General features: G+C 39.8%; 1 protein-coding gene across 7 annotated transcripts in view; it reads right to left on the reverse strand.

The window, feature by feature from the left end:
- The window catches only part of DUSP16 (dual specificity phosphatase 16), an 89,582-nt gene that overhangs the window by 20,837 nt on the left and 42,406 nt on the right, over nucleotides 1-26,339 (reverse strand). For 6 of the 7 annotated variants that reach the window (NM_030640.3, XM_047429568.1, XM_047429570.1 and 3 more), the window contains 2 exons: nucleotides 25,744-25,882; nucleotides 6,401-6,564 (listed from right to left, as the gene is read on the reverse strand). In NM_030640.3, coding sequence (NP_085143.1) covers nucleotides 6,401-6,564; nucleotides 25,744-25,882 — 303 coding nt within the window. Of the gene's footprint in view, nucleotides 1-6,400; nucleotides 6,565-25,743; nucleotides 25,883-26,339 lie in introns of those variants that run through there. The other variant, XM_047429571.1, reaches the window with a different exon arrangement.

The raw sequence follows: 26,339 nt of genomic DNA on the forward strand, positions 1-26,339 counted from the left end.
CATATATGTTCCTTGCACATTTTCATTTTACAAGTCACTGTAAAATATCATTAACTTACATTCATTTCATAATTTAAAAAAGACTGTTTTTCCTGGGTTGAAAATTTTAGATTCTCAAATTCATTAACAGAAGGTTTTCTGAGTAAATTAACAGAAGGTGTGTTTACTTAATGTTTAAGGACATGTACATTTCATACAAGTTGCATGGGTTACAAATTAGGATATAACTATTTATTTTGAAAAATAATCACCAAGGGCTTACTATGCATCAAGGTATTCTGGGGCATAAAAAAGCAAGTGTTCTCACTGAGGGATGAATAGTCTACTAGCAACTGTAAGACAGTTGCACGAATAATGATGATACAAAGAGGTATCCGATGAATATAATGTAGCAGGATAAACAAAATGGCAGTGGAAAACAGGAGTAAAACCAAAGGGAAGGATTCTGAGAAGACTATTTATAATGGGAACTAAAATTGTCAGCTGAAGCTCAGATGGCGGTAGAGGCATTCCAGATGGAGTATAGAAAATGAATGAAGACCAAGGACAGGACAGAAATATCTGGGGTGCACTCACTAGGTGAGTGTGTCCAGACATTGAAAGAGGATGAGCAGAGGAAGAGAACAGGAGAGGTAAGAACTAAAAAGGTGGTATTAGGTCCTGGAAGGTCTTAAATATCAAGCTAAAGAGTTTTACTGCCAAGCTACAGAACTTTATCAAATGCCATACTGAGAAGACTGATCGATTTATTAAAGCAAACTCCTAAAGGATCTCTTCTTGGAAACAATTCATTAGTGGTTAGTGTGGAATCTCAGTGTGGCACGGAATAAAGTAAAGTACATGGGTAACGGCCCCAGAAAAACCAGAGCACAGCCCAGCGCATTACCACTCATCGCCTGGGTGATCTTGGGAAGGTTACCTAACCTCCGGTAGCTTTAATTTCCTCACCTGTAAAATAAGGCTAATGATGTGTATTTTGTAAAGCCAGTATGAGGATAATAAAGTGCCTGACACATAATATAGGGTCCCCTGAAATGTTAGTTCTCTTATTTTATCTTGTTGTAAAAATTGCTTGTAAATTGTATGGTATATGAATTATATCTCAGTAAAGCCATTACAAAAAAAAAAAAAAAAAAAAGCCCATGATGTATATTTTTCACTAATCCAAACTGTCTTTTCTCCTAATTGGTGTTAAGTAGGGAAATTACATTGAATACAGCAGGCGAGGTTCATCTGCAAAGTGAAGACATACTCCCCCTAAGGATTTAAATAGTGATTCTAGTTTCAACACACAGTTGAGTAAACTTTCAAAAATGATTATCTGTAAACCAAGACAAATTTCATTTTATTATTATGATTTCCATTCACAACTTTTCTCCCTTGAAAACTTTCTCTCTCCTAACCCTGAAATAAGCTTTCTCCTGCAGTCAGACTAATTTCTAAATATGAGTTCTATGATCCTTTGATGCAGACTGTGAAGTAGTACAGAGAGAACAGATTAATATATGGCCTTAATGAAACTGCTCTGTTTGGTCAAATTCTCTCTGTTCAGTGAGGCTGAGGACAGAGATCTCATTAAATAACCACAGGCATTTCAATTCTAGATAAAAGAATTGTAATTTTTCTTTCTGAAGTCAATTCCATGACTAATTTTGCATTTGCCCATCCATTTGCCTTCAAAACTGGCCTCAAGTCCTACTTAACTCCATCAAGCCTTCCTCAAACGACAAAACACACTGTATCTACTACTCACCCTAGTAGGCTGCATAGTCTACCCTAAGATGACAATGACAAGTGTCCCTATAAACCAGGAACTGTGCTTGGCATATGCCATTTCATTTGAATGTTACATGAACACCAGGAGGCCGGAGTTATTGTGGCGTGTAGGTAAAGAGACTGAGATGCAGTAACAGCTGAAGTGATATGGCTGGTAAGGTGGAGAACTGGGATGCAAAACTGTCCACCCCTAAAGCTGGCTCTCAACCATCATGCCGTGCTGCTTCCACACTGGGAGGGACACTGTAGTCACCTTGTCATGTCAATTGTTGTTTAATGAATAGGTCTTGTCTAACCAACTTGAACACTGTATGGTGTTCTACATAGAGTGACATCATAGACATTGAAGAAATATTTTATTGATAATTTTGACACGCTTTTGTGTTCCTAGATCATATATTTCCACTGGAAACTCTGAAAGCATTCTTAGCCTATATTGTGTTTAGGCTATTTGTTGCCTAACTCTTCTAAGAAAACAACAGAGAATGTAGCAGTCAGTCTTCCTACTGTGTACCAGGCAGAACAATAAGAAAGCCTAGGAAAACCAATTTTGCATGTTAAGAGGCTGAAATAAGAAGCTATACAAAAAATGTTGACAGCAGATTATTTAAATGGAGAAGGAGCAGGCAGCAGAGCTCCTTTAGAAAAGAAGCTGCAGTGGTTCACCTCAGATACAGTTCTGCTTAATAACTACTCCCAATAGGTAAGTCAGTCATATGCTGCATATATTTAAATGTGAACAAAAGTCTGCATTTGAAATTGTAACTGATAAGAGAGAAAAGCAATCAAGAACTTTTGTCTTTCACAGAGTAACCAGAGATTCTTTCTCAAATCCCACTCATTTCAAATATGAACTAGGCATCAGCAGATGACTTTTATTTAGTACAATAAGCTGCTCCCATTTCAGCTCTAGTACAAAGACTAGAGGATGAAAGAACACACTCTGAGAAACAAAGTACAGTTGTGAGGGAAAAGGAAAATAAAAGTATGTTTTTGGTACCGATGACCTCTTATGGTCTTCTACAAAAGAACCATGTCTTTAAAACATCAGTAAAAATTAATACATGCTGAGACCTAGACTGTCCAATAAGGTAGCAGCCACAAGCCACACATGGCTACTGAGCACCTAAAATGTGACTACTCCAAATTGAGATGTGCTGTAAGTATAAAATACACACCAGATTTTAAAGACTCAGTACAAAAAGAGACTGTAAAATATCTCAGTAATTTTGTATACTGATTGCATGTTGAAATACTATTTTAGATATACTAGGTTAAATATGTTATTTTTAAACATTAAAATTAGTTTTGCCCATTTCTTTACTTTTAAAGGCCACTGGAAAAATTTAAATTATGTATGTGACTTGCATTATATTTCTGTTGGACGGTACTGGTATAGATGATGTTGCAGAAAAAACAGGGAAAGAAATTCTCCATTGTGACTCAATAGACTTAAGATTTCAGTCCTTCGTAACAGCCTGCTATAGAGAATTCCTTTTTCCAGAAGATGGGCATTTTTGGTGTAATATAAGCATGGGACTTAAAATTACAGCAGCCTCGGTTTACATTTGATCTGTGCCACTGACTAGCTCTGAAGTCCATGACATAATCTCGGGTAAGTGACTTAGCTCAGGGCAAATGTATCTCCTAATCCTATTATGAGGGTTAAATGCAATAATATAAAAAGCCCAGCATTTTAAATGGGAAACATTATGATTCTCCCAAGAAAATTTCTGTGACATGCTTCTAACATATTTTGGTGGCACTTCATTTAAAAAAAAAAAAAAGACTAATAGGCCAGGCACGGTGGCTCACGCCTGTAATCCCAGCACTTTGGGAGGCTGAGGCGGGCGGATCACGAGGTCAGGAGATCGAGACCATCCTGGCAAACATGGTGAAACCCCGTCTATATTAAAAATACAAAAATTAGTCAGGCATGGTGGTGCGTGCCTGTAGTCTCAGCTACTCGGGAGGCTGAGGCAGGAGAATTGCTTGAACACGGGAGGGGGAGGTTGCAGTGAGCCGAGATCATGCCACTGCACTCCAGCCTGGTGACAGGGCAAGACTCCATCTCAAAGAAACAAAACAAAACAAAACAAAACAAAACACTAATAATATTAGTGGTCTCATGGTTACTGTTTGTAAAGACTTCAACTTCTGAATTTTAATAAAAAGAACTGTACTGTTAGGGAAGATTATAAAATTTTCATTTTTGGAGATCTTTAGGAAAAAAAGAAGCATATTATTTCTCTTGGAAAGTATAAATCACGAAGTTCAGCAGGATGATAGGTTAGTTAATACTATTTGTAAAAAAGAGGCAAATCTAGTTCTAAAACTCAACTGGATAATGTTGGGGAATTCATGTAACATTTTTGGAATACTGATTTCCTCACTTATCAAATGCTGGTGGCTGACTAAATGATCTCTGAAATCTCCTTCAACGCTAAGGTTTTTGTCAACAACGAACCTAGAGGTCAAACATGCATTTCTTTATTTTATTTTTTATTATTTATTTATTTATTTATTTATTTATTTTTTGAGATAGGGCTTTGCTCTGTCACCCAGGCTAGAGTACACTGGCACAATCTGGGCTCAGTGCAGCCTCTGCCTCCCAAGCTCAAGCAATCCTCCCACCTCAGCCTCCCAAGTAGCTGGAACTACAGGCTAGGGCCACAAAGCCCGGCTAATTTTTGTAATTTTTGTAGAGACGGGGTTTTGCCACGTTGTCCTGGCTGTTCTCAAACTCCTGAGCTCAAATGATCTGCCCACCTGACCCTTCCAAGGTGCTAGGATTCCAAAGTGTGTGAGCCACAAATATAAATTTATATTCACTGCTTTCAAAGCTATCCAGCTTAATAGTTTATTCTTATTTCTCACCATCCTTGCAGAATAAAAATAAAAGTCTATACATCTATTTTAGGGGTGCTTCCTGACAAGCCTTCTATAATAACTCCTTGCCCAAGGTGTTGTCCTATAAACTTCCACAAACCCATTCTCCCCACTGCAAATATTTCCTCTCGATACATCTACCTATGTATCCTGCTTAGTGCTGTATATGTTTAGAAGCCAGAGTTAAAAAAAGAAAACTACTATTTTTCCCATCCTCAACTCCAAATTCTGGTTTAACTGCTGTCACCTTTTTTAACCAACATATTTATTAAATCTGAAAAAGGTATACAGCAAAATGAATGTGTCATTTAACTGAGTGTCAAAAGTAACAAAAACTATCTGTAACACAATTACTTGTGGAATGACCTGCTGATGGCTGGTTAAGGTTTACCAGGATTAAACAGGATTCTTAACTAGGAATTTTATTTTATTTTCTGATCTGAAGATTAAATAAACCAGCTCCAGCTTTGCCCTAGGAATGCATGGGACTTTAAGAAATTAATTTTGCTTTCTGTAACATAGCCTGCTTATCTCTAAAAAGAATTAATAATAACTGCACACTCAAAGGCATTGTGACCCCACCAGAAAGGCTCGGTACAAGCATAAGCTATTAAATCTCAAATCGGCAGATCTCACAGTAAAAGCAGACATATTAACAACACAGTGTTGAGGCAAAATTTTGAAAAGGCAGGAGTTTTAAACATACACACACTCACAAAAGAATGCCTTATTGCTACCCAATGACCCGATGATCGGGTATTTTTCTTCCTCCTAGAAAGCCTTGCCTTCCAGGTGCTAAAGAAAGCCAGTCTGGAAGCTTATTTTTACAATCAGCCCAATTCTTCTAGTTACTCAAGGAGAACGTGTTAAGGGGTTCTTCCCTTTGCATAGGAAAATAGCACTTGTAAATCACCAATAGTTGAATTAAGATCTCTGACTGCTTTTTCAATTTGTGGTGATGTAAATTAAGAGATTTTAGAGAAAAATCACTTTTCCACGCAGTAAGAGCACTATTTTGCAGCATTACTAATTAAGAGCATACAAGCTGTGGAGTCAGATTATAGTTCTATTGCTGTTCTGCTTGTACCATCATATACAAAGGCCTCACTCAATCCAATGTGTTCCTCCATTAGGGCACGCTTTGTCCAGTAGGGCCCGTGTCTTTTTCATCAATAATCCATGCTCTTCCCTCTTCCTTCTCAACCAAACTCCTCCAAAGAGCTTTAACCCAGGGAGGCTGGCAGTGCATAGTTTCAGCCTTTGTCCTCACCATCTTTTTAACACCTTTCCCCACCCCCAGCCAGCAGTCATCATGAGGACCTTCCTCAATCCAAGCCCAACCTGCATCCCTTTCTAGTATGTTGCAATAAATAAATATATTTCTAAATGTGTGATAATCCAGGAACTAACAGCCTGAGAGTGCCCAATTATAATAGATCAATTAATACCCTAAGAATATAAGGCTAAACTTCTGAAAAATCCTGTCCTATTTCAGTTCTCTTGGACCTATTAAGAACAAGTAGACATGACAATAATTTAGGTTTCCTGCAGTAAAAAGTAACATCAAACAAATTAACACTCCAAGAGATGACGCAACTGTTACCTGGGGAGCACACTGAGAATGGCATAGCAGCTCCTGAGATTGGGGTGTGTTTCAAATGACATAATGGGTAACTGCTGTTTCTCCAGCTAACAATATAAACCCAGCAATGAAGGATATTTTCAAAGCACCCACCTTGTTGAGGACATCTCGCTGGCAGCCAAGATAAAGATTGGGAAGAATTCGGGTTGGCCCAATGTTGGCAACAGGTAAGCAAGGCTGAGAAATGCAGGTAGGGACTAGAGTGGATTTTCCTTCACAGAGGCCAGGGAAACAACGAGAGAACTCAGCAAACCCACCTAAGAATAAACATTATAAAATTATAAAAAATTATGCCACGCACAAAATAAAAACCAGCTTTCTGTGAACTGCTCAAACAGTTTAAACCCACGAATCCAAGTGGATATCACTGCACACCTATTCCTGGCTACAGCTGCTGATGCTAAGACTGAAGCATAATCCAGCACTAGGCCTGGCCTATAACGCTACCATGGGGATAGGCAAGTCCTGAAGGCACTTATAATGAATGACTCCTCTCTCTCAGATATTCTCTTCATCTTCACATACCCTACAACATTTGCTCCCCACTCCCCATGCAAATGTTTTTTTTTGTAAAACATAAAGAGGATTTAAAGTTAGTAGCAAGTAACCAAGCCAATAATTCACAGAAGCAGAATGGGGATGTAAGAAATGAAAACTGAGGCTGAATGCAACTTCTTCAAAATAAAATTGATCGAGTCAAAAATTCTTTCTACAACTAACTTTAAATCTTCTTACCATACAAATTTTTTACTGCAAAGGTATCACAAACATACTCCCACCTACGAATATTCTATCAAGTTCTGGGGATTCCCTGGGCAGTTAGTCAAGGTCTCCATAATTACCACTGATGTCTGGAGAGCTCCCGTTCATCTCAGCAAGCACTATAAAGAAGTGCTGACAGACTAATTGCTTAGGGTGCAGGAAGGCTTTGTGGCAAGATTACTGAACTCAGAATTAGAAGAATTCAGTTTTTTCTAGTCCTGTCCTTACAATGATCTGCTCTATGACCTTCACTAAGTCACAGTCTTGCCACCACTCAATGGAGTGAAATCTATGTAGCCAAAGGAGGTGCTTTCACTCCCTCCGGGAAAAGAAAAAATGAGTAAGGTTATTTGCTTTCCAATCTAAATATTCCTTGCTGTCCAAACCCAAACACCAAACAGATTCTGATAAATTTTCAGATATACGCCTTGCTATTCAAACCCTCGCTATTCACTAAGTCCGAATCAAGGAGATTTGGATGACGGGATCCTCGTATATTTTTAACATTAAATTTAAAAACAAGGCAGGGCTCGGTGGCTCACGCCTGTAATCCCCGCACTTTGGGAGGCCGAGGCAGGCGGATTGCCTGAGGTCAGGGGTTCGAGACCAGCCTGGCTAACATGGTGAAACCGTCTCTACTAAAAATACAAAAATTAGCCAGGCATGGTGGTGGGTGCCTGTAATCCCAGCTACTCAGGAGGCTGAGGCAGGAGAATCGCTTGAACCTAGAAGGCGGAGGTTGCAGTGAGCCGAGATTGCGCCACTGCACTCCAGCCTGGGCAACAGAGCAACACTCCGTCTCAAAAACAAAAATAAAAATAAAAAAACAACAAATAACATGTTAAGTCTTATTAGAAGATAGTACCTTTTTAACTGAGCCTTGAACAAGATCCTGAAATCTGACTCAAGTATTTATCTTCATCTCTTTGAGTTATATTGTATTAGACTTTCTCCCACTTCAAGAAACACACAAAATATGCCCTTGAAAACTGCTAGAAGTGCAGGAAGTTGAGAGGGAATCATCTTTCATTATGCCCTGTATTATGTTTAATTCAAGCATAATTCAGCCAGACGCCTGTCTCTACTGTCTAGGCTCAGTGCAGGGTCCTCAATGCAACAAGTTAGAATGGTAGGCAGTTGACAACTATGCCACCTGCAGAATGTAAAAAGAGTGGCCTGGCCTCCAACCTGACCAAGTGTCTTTCTATATATTTTTTAACACAGAAGCAGTTAAAGCTCTTCCACTTACTGAAGTTCTTAAGGTAATCTGATAGGCAGAATACATGGATCCATTATAGAAATCACAAATTCCTTTGTGTCACAGGCCCTCAGGATACCTGCACCTTACAGTTTCATGGTTTCATTTTTTTTTTTTTTTTTTGAGACGAAGTTTTGCTCTTGTTGCCCAGGCTAGAGTGCGATGGCATGATCTCAGCTCACTGCAATCTCCGCCTCCCGAGTTCAAGAGATTCTCCTGCCTCAGCTTCCTGAGTAGCTGGGACTACAGGTATGCACCACCACCCTCGGCTAATTTTGTATTTTTAGTAGAGACGGGGTTTCTCCATGTTGGTCAGGCTGATCTGGAACTCCTGACCTCAGGTGATCCACCTGCCTTGGCCTCCAGTTTCATTTCTTACCGTTTCCAATGATGACCTCCAGCCACATAAAACTCATTGTTATTTCACATTTCCATGCCGTTCTCTTGTCCAAGAATACCACCCTCACACCGCCCCATGCATGCACACGTAGAAGCCACGGTACATACAGCATACACATGTGGGCAAGCCCCATGATCATACAGCAGAGGAAGTAAGAACACAAGCCCTTGTACCTGAGTTCCTGTCCTGGCTTTACCACTTTCTAGTTGTCTGATTTGTCAAGTTACTTAAGCCCCTCCTACTCTAATTTCCTCATCTATAAAATGAGGATAATGATCACACCTATCTCACAGAGTTGTTGAGATAATTAGTTAGTATATCAAAAGTATTTTGTGCCTGGCGTATAGTAAAGCACTCAGGAGGTATCACTGGTTATTGCTTTTTTTTTTTTTTTTTTTGAGACAGAGTCTCACTCTGTCGCCCAGGCTAGAGTGCAGTGGCGCGATCTTGGCTCACTGCAACCTCCGCTTCCCGGGTTCAAGCGATTCTCCTGCCTCAGCCTCCCGAGTAGCTGGGACTACAGGCGCATGCCACCACATTTGGCTAATTTTTTATTTTTAGTAGAGACAGGGTTTCATCAAGTTGGCCAGGCTGGTCATGAACTCCTGACCTCAGGTGATCTGCCCACCTCGGCCTCCCCGTTTTTTTGTTACGGTGATCAAACATTCAGTATCTAGCGCCATCTGTGGGGCCTTCCTCCACCTTTGAGCTGCGGCTGTTTAGCTACACCTCCTTAGTATTCATCTGAGACAAAAAGTGGAAAAAGGAATGCCTGTAAGGTTAACTTCCCAAAGTGTGCCCCAGAGCACTGGCGTCCTGCAAGAAGCTGACAGACAGGATAGCGGTCTAAAAAGTGAGAGAAATATTGTATATCCTAGCTCCCTGGCAGAGTCAGAGCACATGTTAACTTACTAAAGGTTCTAAAAAGTATTTTCAAAGAAACTGGTTTCATTTATTGAAGTCTAGTAAGTTTCCCCAAACTTATCTGACCATGGAATTCCCCCTAAAATATATTAATAGCTAGTAGAATTCACACTTACAAAATGCTACGCTAGGGTCAAAGCAACTACTGAAATGGAGTCAATCAGAACTCCTGTACTTACAAGTACAACCCACAGACAATCTCAAAAAAAGGGGGTCAGCCAATATTGGTATATAAGTGCCCACTGTTTAGAATTTATGCTTTTGTTTCTATTCGTGTTTTGTTCCTTTTCAGTCTCTCTAATTGAATAACACAGTCATTATTTAAGTGAGTTTTTTCCCCAAGGTAGTTCTTGTAACAATAAATGTTAAAGATTCTCATCATTCTTTGCTTTTCTTACACCTACCCAACCTAACAACTGTCAGGCACTATTTTAATTACAATTAAATTGTATGATGTTAAATTTTAATGTGGTGTCTATTAACATGTAGTTTTGGTGTTTCTCTTTTTTTTCTTAAAGACAGGGTCTCACTCTGTTGCCTAGGCTGGAGTGGCATGATCTCAGCTCACTGCAACCTCTGCCTCCCAGGCTCAAGTGATCCTCCCACCTCAGCTTCCCGAGTAGCCAGGGCTACAGGGGAACACCACCACGCCCAGCTAATTTTTGTATTTTTGTAGAGACAGGGTCCTTCCTATGTTGCCCAGGCTGGTCTCAAACTCCTAGGCACAAGTGATCTACCCACCTTGGCCTCCCACAGTGCTGGGTTTACAGGCATGAGCCACTGCGCCCTGCCAGTTCTGGTGTTTCTCTAAAGAACTGTCTTCATATATTTTTCAATTCTGGCTCTAAAACAGTTCCTGGAATGGTTGTCATTTAAATTCAACAAAACAGCTTGGGCAACATGGATAAACCCAATCTCTGTTAAAAAAAAAAAAAAAAAAAAAGAAAGAAAGAAAAAATTAGCCAGGCATGGTGGAGTATTCCTGTAGTTCCAGCTACTTGAGAGGCTGAGGTGGGAGGACTGTTTGAGCCCAGGAGGTTGATGATGCAGTGAGCTGTGATCGCACCACTGCACTCCAGCCTGGGTGACAAAGTGAGACCCTGTCTCAAAAAAATACATACATACATCCAACAAAACAATATTCCAATAAATGTTCTCAAAGAGAAAACAGAGAATCCAAGGAAACACCACTTGAATTTCATTTGAACCTTATAAATGATTATTTTTATAAATAATGTATGTAATCCTAGAATGTACTGAACACTTACTGCGTGACAAACATTGCTCTAAGCACTCTATAGGTATTTACACACTCTTACAGCTGCCCTATGAGATAGGTGTTACTACTAATCCCATTTATAGATAAGGCTCAGAATCACATAATATAGGCTCAGAATCACGTAATATAATAACCGGAAGAGCCAGGTTATAAGTCTACTTTTCTAAATCCTATGGAATTACTTTCAACTCTCCCTTGGATGCAGGGACAGCCTTGCTGATGATATTCATGGGGTCCTGGCCTCCCCAGCTGTGACCAGGCTAAAAAGGCCATGGTCCTCTCCCAAACTGATGGAAGAGCCTTGTTTCCCCAAAGCTATATCGCTCAAAGGCTTCAATGAGGGAGAAGGAAGAAGATCCGACAAGAACAGAGAAAGGAGAATCTCTTTAAAGGCAATTTCACATGACACCAATAACAAAGTTTACAGATGAACTGGTTGAAATGTAAATATGGTCACTGGTTTGTTCATGACCACCATTTACAAGTTGGTAGTAGACCTTGGCTGTCAGGTCACCCCCCACAGAACAACTTTCAGAGGAGATGCAATTCTGCAATAATCATAAACTGAGCCATCAGCCAGGCTGTTCGAGGTCCAGTTCTATCGTTAATTGGTACAGTGATCCTAGATCACTTTGATTTCAGTGGACCTCAAAAGTAAGTGTGGCTCTAGAAAGTTCTAAGACAGAGAACAGAAAGGAGAGAAAGAAACCATTGTTCAGCTTCAAAACAAAAGAGCCAAACAAAACAACACTACACTGTAAAACACATTATAAAACAAAAAGAAGCCTCTTTTTCACAAATCTTTCTCAACTGATATCTAGAACAAACTCAAACAAATATTTAAAAATATTTAACAGATTTAGCTGCAATCAGAACATTCATTTAGTGCTCAGTTTGGCTTGAAATGTCCCAGACTGGCTCCCAGTCACTTCCAGAAAACCCTACCTCAGCCAGAGCACATTTTCACTGATCTTTATCTATGACAATGTTCCACTCTGCTGACATCCTCCTTCATTGACAGTTTTTTCCATTCACTGACCTTTCATTCACTGCTGCACTCTAGTGACTCCAGTTTCGTTTCATTAATTAACAACAGATGAGACACTGCCTGATTTCCCTTGGACCTCTAAAAACTAACTGTGGCCTCACCAGCAACTCAGTTTTGAAACATGCTTAAAATGTCCCTCTTCCTTTCGTAAGTTCTCTTACAAACAAGATCCACTTCAGAAGAAAAGTTCATTTATGCAAACGTTCTGCTCCAAATGGCTAACGGAGACAAAGAATCAAGCGTCCTCTTATCTGCCCTTATCATAACTTTGTTGTCCCAGGGACTCCAAGCTAGATTCCATTACAAGACATAACATCAGTCCGTTATCCGCTATTTACTGTGAAAAGCAGTACCGAAAAACTGATAAGCTTCTTGAAAAAATTTGCGCCTATTTTTTAAAGTTGTCTGAAGACTTGGCTCACTGTCCAATCTTGCCAAGTTTCTCCTATTCCTAATTTTATGCTGTTTATCATCTGGGAATGCAGAAAACAAAGTCATAGTAACCCACATGTGTTTCCCTAACATGGACCTGAACCTAAGAATGACTGTGCCCCCTACTCTGGAAGTATCTGTGCTAAGAGGAAGGAAGACAAATACACAGCTATTTCCAGCCTGCTGAGAAACAGGGATGGGCAGTCCCTGCAGGCAGAGAAGCGTCTTGGCCTCTACAGCTGTGGATGCACAGGCAGCCAGACCGCAATGCTAAAACCCATGTTTCTGTTAGTCTTCCATAAATCCAACCAAAAGAATGCATGTTTACAAATAAAAACATAGATACTACTTCCGACACAGAAAACATCTGGTACAGCTTCTAAGGCATTCCTCATTTAGATAACACCTTCTCCTAATTCAGCCATGAAAACGTCTTCCCTTAAGATCACCTCCTTCACAATTCCAATTATAAATATGATTTTCTGTAAAAGCAAACGTGAACCACCATTCCATTTTGGGGGGGAAAAATCTGCCAAGTAAAATAAAATACATATAACAACTCTACTAAACAATTCCAATTAGTCACTCTTTTCTCTTCCCTCTCACCCATGCAATCAGTTATATATCACAGTATTTTCTTTAAATGAAAGTATATTTACATAATAAACAAAAGTAGCACTTTACTGTGGCTTACTGATATTCTTAAAATGTTTTTAAGGCCAAAGTTCTAAAAATAGATCCCTCTCCTTTTAGCAGTTCCATGACTTTAAAGATGGTTTCCTGCAGGGAGAGACAGAGGGCCTTTCCACTCATGCCTTCATTTAAATAGGGAGCAAGTCACTAGGGATTTATCAACTGGCAGAGCCGCCTTCAAGGAAGGCAGAATCAAAGAGAACTGCCCTCCCACCCTATATTGTGAATGGATTCCATGGTTATACAAAGAAATAATATTGATATAAAGCTCTACTTTATGGAAGACATTTTCCTAAAAAGTCATATGCAAATTTAACTTTTGTATTTTAAATCATCTGCATATAGTTCATATGGTTTCACAGTTTTTGAACTATGCGGTTAAATTCTTGTTGTTGTTGTTTTTTGGAGATGGAGTTTCACTCTTGTTGCCCAGGCTGGAGTGCAATGGTGCGATCTCCGCTCACCGCAACCTCCACCTCCCGGGTTCAAGCAATTCTCCTGCCTCAGCCTCCCGAGTAGCTGGGATCACAGGCATGCGCCATCATGCCCGGCTAATTTTGTATTGTTAGTAAACACGGGGTTTCTCCATGTTGGTCAGGCTGGTCTCGAACTCCCAACCTCAGGTGATCAGCCCGCCTTGGCCTCCCAAAGCGCTGGGATTACAGGCGTGAGCCACCGTGCCCAGCCATTAAATTCTTTTGTAGTTCTCAAGTAGTTTAATTCTTTTGTAAAACAAAACTCCCTTTTTGTAACATAAACACAATCCTTTCATTTGCTTATTTTAGAATATATGTGAAAAACTAGAGTACACCTTCACCTGTAGAGGACAGTTCTCTCTTCTCTCCATACTGGAAAGAAAATCTGTTGCTTTACCATCACACAAAGGAGACAACTCTAACATTAAAAATGGAAAATACTGAAAATGTTTATTTTGCAGTAAAGTACTTTAATTGCTCTTAAGAGTAATTCTGTTATGCCTCAGTCTGACATGTCTGATTTAGGCAACTTTATTCTCTAGACACTCAAAAACAGACTAAAGTATGGTCACAATTCTTTCGGGATCAGCAGACAGTAAACATGGAGAGTTGAAACTAGTTGAAGAAAAGAAAAGAAAAAAAAAAGCAACATAATTTCATACCCCTAAAGAAAGCAAACAAAATATGTAACTAATGTTTCAATGTAGATACTTTGGTCTGGATAAGCCAAGCCACACAGGTTTGGTAAATTACTCCTAGGAAGGTAGAGAGCATAGCATTTTTTCCACAGCATTAGCAGCATTCCACCTTTTCCCATATAGCCAACTCTCCAATTGAGCCATACTAAAGAGAAAAATCCCAAATGATCTAAAGCATTAATTTAAAGCTCTTATTCCATCCACCCCCATCTACTGGAGCACAGACCAAGAGGAGAGTGGATAGATACGCATTTCTCTTTCAGGAAGGCTGACAAGTAGCCTACATCTCACAAAACTTATCCCATAAATGACACCTCCAAAAGAGCTTGCCCTATATTAAACAACCCTATCACGTGACACAGTTGGGAAATGGGAAATTCTATCTAATTTTGGTATTAGGACATATGCAACAGTTATGACATACACAACAGTTATGACATACACAACAAATGAATGAAAAATTTTCAAAGCACCAGCAGACAAATCACTAAACACTAAAATTATGCAACTTATAATTTCTTATGACTCAGAATGTCCAGATCTTATAACTCAGGATAATATTTAAATCAACTCCATCAGCAACATCCAGATGTGTTATTCAAGAAGGAAGAGTTCTCAGAAGATGTAGACTGGTAACTATTCTGCTGATCTTTTAAATTGGCAATACATAACTATGCCCAGAAAAACTCCTCTTAAACGTCCTGAAACAAAGATTGTTCTAAAGACTGCAACCAGAATAACCCATCAAAAGGAATACAGCCAGAATCTACCACTTGGCTGAACAGAATTAACAAGCTCTGTAGGTAGGAGAGCCAGAGTCACAGAGTCTCCCTACTATTTTCCTAACACATCTGTGCTTTCCCGCCTTTAGGCTTTTGAAAAGTCAACCTTTCCAATCCATTTTGTATTTCCTTCTAAACCACAGGCAAGCACAAGTTACACCTCTTCTATAGCAGTATGGTCCCAAAATTTTTTTACCAGGATCAACAAAATACATTTTACACTCAAACCCTCTGAACACCTACACATACTCACCACTAAGACAAAAGTTTCATGATACTATCTTCCCTAATTCTGTTGCGTTTAAAGAAAAAAAAAAAACAAACTTCCTTGAGCAGCGTATCTAGACATGGTCCAGCTTAGAGGCTCTATAAAATTTATACCAATCATTTGGCAGTACCTACCACTGACCTAGTAACTGTGAAATAACTGTGTATGTGTTGTGACCCGTCTTACTTCTCCAGCTATTGTGAGCTGCTTATGGATAAGAATTATCCATAATTCTTTGTAATTACCTCAGCATTTAGCATAGTGCCTGGCACATAATTAGAATTCAATAAATGTTTATTGAATCCTTCCTTGTTACAATGAATAGCTGTTGATGGACATAAGTCTTGTATATTTTTGGTGTTCCGAAGGATTTCCTGATTCCATTCAAAGCCAAAAGCTAGTTGGTGTGGGTGGGGGCACAAAATCTGCTTCCTATTCCTAGACCACAATGCCCCAGAAGACTCTCAGGGTGAGTGAGGAGGCACAGGGCAAGAAAAAAACATTTTTTCTTCTACTACAGGAAAAAAGATAAAATTGGCGAGTGTCACTTTGGTTATCCAAAAGCGACACTGAATCCTTACTATGATTCTGCTGTATCCACAGGACTTTACATAAAAGGGAAAGAAAATTTTTTCTGATGCCCCTAAATGGCGCAGGACTCCACACCGGTGTGGAGAGTCCCGTAATATATCTCCATGGCTCAGGGAATCAGGGCACATCCCATAGGAAACCAATGAGACACCAACTATGATTATACCCCAGATGAGGATGGTGTGGCTGCTGGACATGTCTATAATCATCATCAAAATGGATAATGAAATGAGATTATCCATAGGGGAAACTTGATGAGTCAAGAGGAAAAAGGAATACAAGTCTAGTGTCTGGAGAATTATTCAAGAATAAAATCTGACTAACTTGTAAACTGTCCATGAATCACACTATACAGCTCACTTCTCAGGCTATCCATGTGAAGCGCAAAGCTTTCTAAGCCATCTAGCCACAGGCTCTCCCCTAAGACCACTTCTGTATATTCCACTCTGTGTACAGTCCTCCTCTTTGGCCAACTACACATTTTGACAAGAGACGTCATAGAGCAGTGAGGGAGAAAGGGATAACTGCGTTTCACATATAAGTTCAAAAAACACTTAATAGCACCTACTATGAGTTTGACATAGCGCTAGGTAATGGAACAGTGGTGACCAAGACAGAGAGCCTTCTCTGGAGTTGACAGTTTTATGGGATAAACTTTAACCAAATAATTAGATGAATAATTAACTAATTATGGTAAGTGGCCAAAGGCATATGGAAACCAACTTTGCCTGGTAGCTAGGGAAGGCTTGACAACCACATTGAATCTAGCAGGAAAACAACTAGGTAAATAGCAGAGAGAAGAGCCCAGGGCAGAGGACAGAGCCTCTGTGAAGGCCCAGGGTGCATGATGTCTTAGGTTTAGAGCAACAGGGAGGAGGCCTAAGGAGCTGAGGCAAAACAACAACTGAGGACTTAAAGTGGCACTGGATGAAGTTAGCAAGGTAGGCAGAAGCCAGCCACTGCAGGGCCTTGTGAATCAGTTAAAAATTTTGTAACTTATCTTAAGAGCACTGCATATTATTGATGCATATTAAACTGGGAAGTGATGTAATCTGAATTAGTTAAAAACACAAAATAAAAATGTAACTTTGGCTGCAGTGTGAGCAATGGATTGGAAGGTGGCAAGACAGAGCATGTGAACAGATCAGTTAAGAGGCTCCTGGAGCAACCTGGGGGAGGAATAACATTCAACTGACTTCATGGTAGCAGAAGACCAGAAAACCAGACAGACCGAAGAGGTTGGAAGAAAGATCTGGTGACTAAGAGATGACAGGTATTGCAGCCATATCTCCAATAGCTCACAATACCCATCACCTTAAAGTACAAATTCTTCCTTCTGATTTAAAGAGCTTACATAATTTGATCTCATGTCCTCTCAATTCCCATTTCTCTCCTTCACAAAAAATCCACTCTGGTCTGCTCACTGCCCCTCCAAATCTATGTTCATTCCTGACATTTTTAATCATGTTCTTTCCCCCTCAGAATGCGCAGAACCCTCCCTACCCAAATCTTACTCCTCATCTTTCAAGGTTTGATTAAAATTCCACTGCCCTAATCAAGTCTTCCCTGACTTCTGCAGACTACTCTGAATCATCCCTTATCACTGTATCATACATTTTAGCAAATGATCATATACTTCTCTTTCTTTCATCCACTTTAGGTGCATTTCCCCAAATTAACCACTACATTCTCAAAGGCAGGGGCAAGCCTTTTGCTTTTCCAATATCTTCACCCCCGAGAGCCCAGTCCAAGGCACAGCCATGGAGGCACCCATCAAATATTGAGAGGCTGAGTGAGTGAAAGGGCTGAAGAATATGCTGGACCTGGTGTTTCTCTAGACTACACAGCTGCCCCACCTGGGGCAAGGGAAGATTGATGTCACTGTTGTCATCTGGGATGCTTTTGTTTGGTTTGTGCACAATATCAGGATGGGGAACCAAAGGACTATCTTTAAGCTTTAGTTGGCTCTCTAGTCTGTTTGTTTCAAAAGACAATCTCAAGCATGTGTCTTAGCCACTGGTAGCTGGGAAGAGACATGACTGACTCTCCACACTGGCAGATAGCAATCGGAGAAAAGATGATCCAATTTAGACGAATTCATGCCAACTGAGACTCAGAAACAGAGCCAGAAATACACAGCAGCCAGTGAGCAAACAGCACCTTTTTCCCCAGCTTTATTGAAGTATGATTAACAAACAAAAATTTTATCTGTTTAAGGTGTACAGCATGATGATGTGATATACATATACACTTGGAATGACTACCTTACCTCACATAGCCATGCTCTTTTTGTTGTGGTGAGAACACTTAAGATCTACTCTTTCAGCAAATTTGAAGTATATGGTACGTTTATTGTCAACCGTAGTCACCATGCTGTACAATAGGTCTCTAGAACTTACTCATCATATCACTGAAAGTCTGTACTCTTTAAGCAGCATCTCCCCATTACCCCAGCCCTCCAGCCCCTGGTAACCACCGTTCTACTGTTTTCATGAGTTTGACTCTTTTAGATCCACATGTGATACCATGCAGTATTTGTCTTTCTGTGTCTGGCTTATTTCAATTAGCATAATGTCCTCCAGGTTCACCCATATTGTTGCAAAATGGTAGGATTTCCTTCTTTTTTAAGGCTGAATATTCCATTGTGTGTGTATGTGTGCATACAGCATCTATTTTTAGTCTGTTTTCAGTGACTCTCAGTCACTGTAGTTTTTTAGACCCAAGAGCAGCCAGTTCCTTAATAATTGGCATACTTTTACTGAAATCCATTAATTTCAATCTCATTTACCAAGTTCTACAGGATTCGAAATGGAATTACTGAAGATTTCCCTTCTCCAGACAAAGGAGAAGAAACACCAAACTAGATAACAGAATTTATGGTAATAGCACAAAGAGCAAAATCCATAACCAGGAAGATCAGGTTCTATCATACCTCCATGAGGAAGGACAGTAATCAATTCTATTAAACCAAAAGTATACATTTATTACACAGAACTGTCATCAGAATCTAGATCCTTATTAAATTGAAAATGTGTAGAGTCTAATACATTTTTGTTCACTCGTAGGTCTAACTACAATAGTTAAGTTCAACTCAAAACGAAGAAATGAGTATTTGGCCTTTAACCATAGCAAACATTAATCGAAGACCTTTGCTGTGTTCTTAATAAATGGTATCTTCTATCCTTATTCACAGCTATACACCAGCATAAAACAGAGTAGACTTTTACTTGATGATCTCTTCTGGCTAACATAGTTTAATGCTTTAAAACAATTTATATACAGTGTATTTTTATAGATTGCTATATTCTATAAAGTATGAAGAATATGACTGAAATTCTCAAAAAGACTGAGAAAGAGCTATTACAAAAAGAGCCTTTCAGAATAAGCCTGATCTGAAATGGGCACCCTTGATTCCCAATCTAGCCTCCTGACAAAATTCCAGAAGACTCTGGAATTACTTGTGGATGTGGGCCTTGGGCAGCAAGAGCTTGGGAGAGTCACTCAGCAGCTCTGTTATTTTCCTCATTTGTAAATGAAAGGGCTGAAGTCTGTGGTTCATTTATGGTTTTCTCCCGCAATCGCTGTAGGGTTATTCTGTGCTGCATCACAGGACAGAAGGGAGTGCTGTGGAATTAATAAGCCTGGCAGAGCCCTTTTGCTTTTACTCAGGCTGTACTGGGGAAAGAGAAGGACATAGTAGAACAGCATTTTTCACATGCAGGTTGATCTTTATTTCTACTAAATTAACCCATTTACTCTCTTTTCCATATGTCAGCATAAAATAAAAGCCCAAATTCAATAGTTTTCCTTTTTTTCACATATATTTACTTCTAATCTGGCGCTCTTAGAAATAGACAAGTAGAATAAACTGATACATAGTGAATAAGTAAAAGCCAAGAAACAAGTTTATTTTTCAGAGAACTAGTTTTCTGCAGGTTGTTGAAAACACCAAAAAAGTTGCTCAATAAATCAATGTTGGCAACTGATTTTTTGGGTTTTCAAACTCATACTGATAAGTTTCTTATTTTTTTTTGAAGGATAGTCTTTTAGACTATTGATACAGAAATTTCACATCCATTGTCTAATACAATCCTCATAATAAGGCAAGCGTTATTATCTCTTTTTAGGAGCTGAAAAAATACAAGATAATTCAGGTTAAATGACTTATCCAAAGTTGCCATAAGGAGCAGAGACACACACAGAAAACACAGGCTACAGCTTTGACCCCTAGTCCATTGTTCTTTCCAGCTTAAAGGGATTTCCTCAATGCAGATGTTAGATCACCTAGGGAATGGGTGTGGGCATGGCACTGAGTTGATCAGAAGACCCTGAAACCTTCTGCAGATGCAGATACAGAGCCTGTGCTCAGGTAATACCTTTACCACTAGGACCTAGTTTTTCTTCCTCCTGCTCTTTTCTGATCCTTTTTCTTTAGTCAATATCTAAAGTTTAGCAGTAACACGAAAGATATTACCAACCCTTGAAAATGGTTCCTTTTTTGGATTCTCCAATCCCCATCTCTCCCCTTCCCCTCAATCTTAAATCTTACATCTGCAGGAGAAAAAACAAGAACAGGCCCGGCACATGGCATAGAGCATGGCACTACCTCTCTCTAGCTCTACCTTGTGTAATTTCTTTTTTCTTCTTTTGGAGACAGGGTCTTGCTCTGTCGCCCAGGCTGGAGTTCAGTGGCACAATCACGGCTCGCTGCAACCTCAAAACTCCTGGGATCAAGTGAGCCTTCCAAGTAGCTGGGACTATAGGTATGATACCACCGCACCCGGCTAATTTTTTAAATTTCTAGTACAGACGAGGTCTCTCTCTGTTGGCCAGGCAGGTCTCAAACTCCTGAGCTCAAGTGATCCTCCTGCCTCAGCCTCCTGAAGTGTTGGGAATACAGGCATAAGCCACCATGCCTGGCACCTTGTACAATTTCTATACCCAGATTACCTATTGCTCCCAGGAAGTTGGTCTTCTCTACGTTTATGACTTCTCATTACAAGTTCAAAATATAGTTTATCAGACACAAAGGACTTTATTAAAAAGAAAAAATATATAGTTTATTCTGCCAATATTTTCCTATAATTCTAATTATTTAATATACTTAATTATATAAGCTTTCCTGAAATATTCTCAATAGAATTAGATTCTTTTCAAATTATGAGAAACCCAGTTAATTTTTTTAGCCAAATAGGAATTACAGCATTTTTCCCTTCCAAAAGCCCATCCTAGATTATAAAATCATTATTATGATACATTTATGTTACACCCATTTTTTTACTCTATTAATATGCTTTTTTTTTTTTTTGAGATGGAGTTTCATTCTTGTTGCCCAGGCTGAAGTGCAATGGTGCGATCTTGGCTCACCGCAACCTCTACCTCCTGGATTCAAGCAATTCTCCTGCCTCAGCTTCCTGAGCAGCTAGGATTACAGGCATGCGCCACCACACCTGGTTAATTTTGTATTTTTTAGTAGAGACGGGGTTTCTCCACATTGGTCAGGCTGGTTACGAACTCCCAACCTCAGGTGATCCGCCCGCCTCGGCCTCCCAAAGTGCTGGGATTACAGGTGTGAGCCACCGCACCTGGCCAATATGAATTCTTAAGTCTAAATTTCAAGGGGGGTTGTGGGGAAGATATGCAGGTCTTTAAATTGTACTTATTCAATAACCTGACTTCAAAATTGAAAAAAAAAGGAAACAATGGTTTGCCATTACCTACCCATTAATGGTAATAGAGAACTTTTTTTTTCTTTTTGAGACAGAGTCTCACTCTGTTGCCTACACCAGGGTGCAGTGATGCGATCTTGGCTCACTGCAACCTCTGCCTCCCGGGTTCAAGCAATTCTCCTGCCTCAGCCTCCTGAGTAGCTGAGACTACAGGCAGATGCCACCATGCCCGGCTAATTTTTATATTTTTAGTAGAGATGGGGTTTTGCCATGTTGGCCAGGCTGGTCTCGAACTCCTGACCTCAGGTGATCCACCCACCTCGGCCTCCCAAAGTTCTGGGATTACAGGTGTAAGTCACCATGGCCGGGCAGTAATGGAGAACTTTCTAAAGCATCCAAATTTGTTTTTTTTTTAAGATGAGATTGCTACTGATAATTTTGTGTTTTGTTTTTTTAGAGACAGGCTCTCTGTCACCCAGACTGTAGTGCAGTGTTGCAATCACAGCTCACTGTAACCTCGAACTCCTGGGCTCAAGCAATCCTCCCCCATCAGCTTCCCGAGTAGCTGGAAATAGAGGGGTGCACCACCACACCCAGCTGCTACTGATATTAAACCCTTTAATCCACTGGGAGTGAAACAATGCTATGGCTTAGTTTGACTTGGTTAGTAGGTTATTTACTAATGACTAGAGCAATCAATTTACATTTACATTTTTAAAAATACAATAATTATTCTGACTGTTCTCAATTAACATGAATTCAAGGACTTGCGTATTCCTATGAGTGGAGCTAGATTTCTAGGGTTGTTAGCTCTTTATCAAATATCAGTATTTAAGGACCACAGAAAATTAGCACTGTTTCACTACAGCAGCATTTTCATCAGATTTTAATACCATCTTCACATCTGCTTATATGGATGAAGAAAGTTTCATATTAGATATTTTCCCATCGCAGCTATATATTTGCTTTATCAGAATAAATACACCTTCCAAATCACCTATTTTGAAACAATCTGAAGTTTTCTCTACTTTCAGACTTCATCACTGCTTAATATGCTTATATTCTAGACTGATAAATCATAGGAAATATAAACAATATAAAACCTTCAGGTAAGCTAATATCAAAATATTTACTGAAAACTTAAGAAGGGCTAGGCCTTGCGGGAACACAAAGGTAAACAAGACCTGGTCCATATTAAAAAACTAAGCCCACTGCATTCCTGTAGAGGTTCCCCAAATCCCACTTCCTTCTCCTTCAGTAATCCTTCATTTTTCATGACCATGTAAGTAGGTCCTCCAGGTAAGTGTCAGTCTCCTCTTGTTTGAAGGAAAAGAGCTCGTTAAGATACTGCTATCAATTTCTTGGGAGTCCTCTTGTTCTCCTTATTCACAGTCATTCTTCCGTGGGTAAGGTAGCCCTGAGAGTGTGAGTAGATGTGGGGCCACAATTCCTCACTGCCATAGCTAATGACCATAAAAACCATCTCACATATCTGATGCTTTCTTTTCTCAAGGTGGCTGAAAGTTCTAAACCGATGGAAAAATTATTCCAAGAAACCACTTTGTCTTTCTATTACCATGTCCAAACGAGACTGACAACAATCTCCAACTGTTGAAAGTCACAGGGGCAGTTTGTAGTGAAAATTGTCTCCAGTGACCTTGTAACTTACAGTAGCCCCTGTGAGAAACTAGGGTGCTTTTCAGTTATTTCTCCCCAACCAAAATATTTAAGAAACTTTTGTCAATATGTCCTTCTGTCCCACATCCCTGGCTTGTCCTCTGAGCAGCTGGACCTTTGCAATAAAACAGTTTCCCAAGAATTGATGGCCAAACCTTCTCCAATACTGTTATCCACTTACCCCAATTATCTACCTACCCTGACGAAAAAATTCACTAACCAAGAGAATCCCCAATTGCTTTTGGATGATTGGGAAGGCTTCTAATCATCTAGAACCCTCTCTTAGGTGTCACAAGAAATCCAGCTGCTCAGAAATTCCCAAACAAGCAATTCAGACTCTGAAGTCACCTCCTAAGCTAATAGAAACACAGGATTCTGGAGGTATGGATGAAGATATGGTGCTACTAATACATTTAATGTGGCTCCTGGTGCTGCCTCCATGGACTTGCCGTTAGGCCTAAGAAACACTTCCTGTTTGAAACAGGGATGTCAGGGTGTTCTGACTCAGTGTGTCACACCACGTGTCCCTAGAGTTGACATAGCTAATCAGGCAGTCCTGTTTCTTCCTTATTGCCCAGTGAATGCCCCTCCCAAGGCTACACAGGATAGATTAAGAACCTTCCCAGGTAACAAAGGAATGCTCTTTGGTAAAGGAGTAAAGGGTACAAGTAGCTAAAGCACCTGTGCTAGAAACTCAATGTGAGCTCACTCCTCTGGGGGGCTGTCTACTTGACCGAGATGTTGAGTAAGGTCTCCCCATAGGGTAAAAGTAACTCAAACAAGAACATGGTGGGATAACCACTCTGTCACGAAGCACATCTTGGCATATTGCTTCTTTAAGAAAGACTCTGGCTGGGTGTGGTGGCTCATGCCTGTAATCCCAGCACTTTGGGAGGCCGAGGCAGGCAGATCACCTGAGGTCAAAGTTCGAGACCAGACTGGCCAACATGGTGAAACCCGGTCTCTACTAAAATACAAAAATTAGCCAGGCGTGGTGGCAGGTGCTCAGAATCCCAGCTACTTGGGAGGCTGAGGCAGGAGAATCGCTTGAACCTGGGAAGCAGAGGTTGCAGCAAGCCAAGGTCACACCACCGCACTCTAGCCTGGGCGACAGGGCAAAATTCTGTCTCAAAAAAAAAAAAAGAAAAGAAAAACCCTGATCCCATTAACAGGATTCCAAGGTAAAGTCCCTCACACAGTGGCCACCTGAAACATGAAATGAGTTCCTAAACTCACCCAATTAGTTTAGTGAAATGCTAATAATAGCTGTTACATTTAACACACTCATACTCCCAGTAAAAGAATGTGTCTATCAACAGAGACAGAATCTAATATTATAATTCTCAGTTACAGACTTCTGAAAACTACATTCTAAGACAAGCTGGCTTCACTTAAGAACACTAATTGAAAGATCAGACGGAATCACAGCATAAATGAAAGGTGTACAGATAGACAATCTGAAAAAGATGAACTATCCTTGTTCTTAGAGAACTGAGGAAAAGCTTGTGAGAGAGAACTGGAGACATGGAAATCTTATCTAAACCTGCCCAGAGTTTAAAATTATTAACACACCAACAACTAATTAATCTTAATGTTTTGTTTTTCTTAGACCAAATGTTTAAAAGCACTCTTGCCTATCACTGAAGCTGAATCCGCCCAACACAGCAGCTTTATGTTAAGGTTACTGTGTGTTGTCAAACTATATTCCCAGCTCTATGAGCCCACAGGGCAAGGGAAAGGATTTTCATTTGCAAAACGAGAAGCAAAGGATGAATAGCCTTCTTTGGAATTTGATGGGATTAACTCCTACAATGCCGTCCTCCAGGAGAGATATAGAATATTTGGTCCTTCCCACACACTTTATAAGATCATCTGGTTGCTTAGCATTTCTACGTTGAGACTTTTTTTTAATTATAAAACAAATAAAAATATACAAGTAACTTTTAAAACAATTCCCCTAATTACCAGAAGAAACATTCTGCACACATTCTCCCCCTATTTCATTGTTTATAATGCCCAGAAAGGTGACCATAAGGCTTATCTCTGGAGTCCGCTCCAACTATAAATGTTAAGTAAGAGTTTGACACTGTAATATTGGTCTGGTTCTTGCCACAGGGGTGGGAACTAGCAGGAGCTGAGATGTTCATCATTTGGTGTTCTTACATCACAGGTGAATGGAAAAAGGCAGACAGAAGCAGCTGGCTTTGAGCTATCCATATGGGTGTGCAAATCTATGTGGCACTACCAGTTAATAGCAAGCAAAGAGGCACTTGAGCCAAGTCAAAAATACACTGACCTATGTGGAAGAATGATATAGTATTCAAGTTAAATAGAACGGTGACATCAATCAAAAGCTATAAATAAATCATTTTACACAGCAAAGTTGGGATGATCTATTGTACTGAGTTCACAGTGAAATATGCTTACTCATACAGCTCAGCAAGATTCTGAGTCCTTTTAATTCCATCACGAGCCTTACCTGCAAGCAGGTGAACAGAGTTGAAGCTCTTCTCCAGTTTACCCAGAAGTACAGTGAGAAAACAGTCTGAAGAGAGAGAGGCAACATCTTGGGAGCTTTGATCGTAAACTACAACCTTCTGACTGCAATCAATGTCAACCTGAAATGCAAACATGAGGCTTGTTAGGAAGAAGGTGAGAAAAGTAATCTCAAACTACTGCTTAAGATCTCACATTTACCAGTGCTGGGGCGAATAATTGCTTCCTGTTTTCAATTAATAATTTGAATAAAAATGAGATGTAGTCAATTTACGAGACAGACACATACAAAACTCTTAAAAACCAAAATGATGCTATTTCTGTGTAGGTGATCTCACGATTCCCTGGTTTTAAATCCTTTATACTATAAAATGGTAAAGTTCATAATAAACCAAACAATATGCAAAATAAACATAACCCTGGACCTAAACAAACTTTTTTTAAAATGACTTTTACACCTTAACAAAGAAATCAGTTGTTTATTTAAATTAAAACATGAGCTCATTTGTATTTGTGAAGAAAAAAACCAACTTCCTCACCACACAGACAACATTTTAGTATCCCAGGAATAACTTCCCT

This window comes from Homo sapiens, chromosome 12 (genome assembly GCF_000001405.40).
Source record: "Homo sapiens chromosome 12, GRCh38.p14 Primary Assembly".
Taxonomy (NCBI): domain Eukaryota; kingdom Metazoa; phylum Chordata; class Mammalia; order Primates; family Hominidae; genus Homo; species Homo sapiens.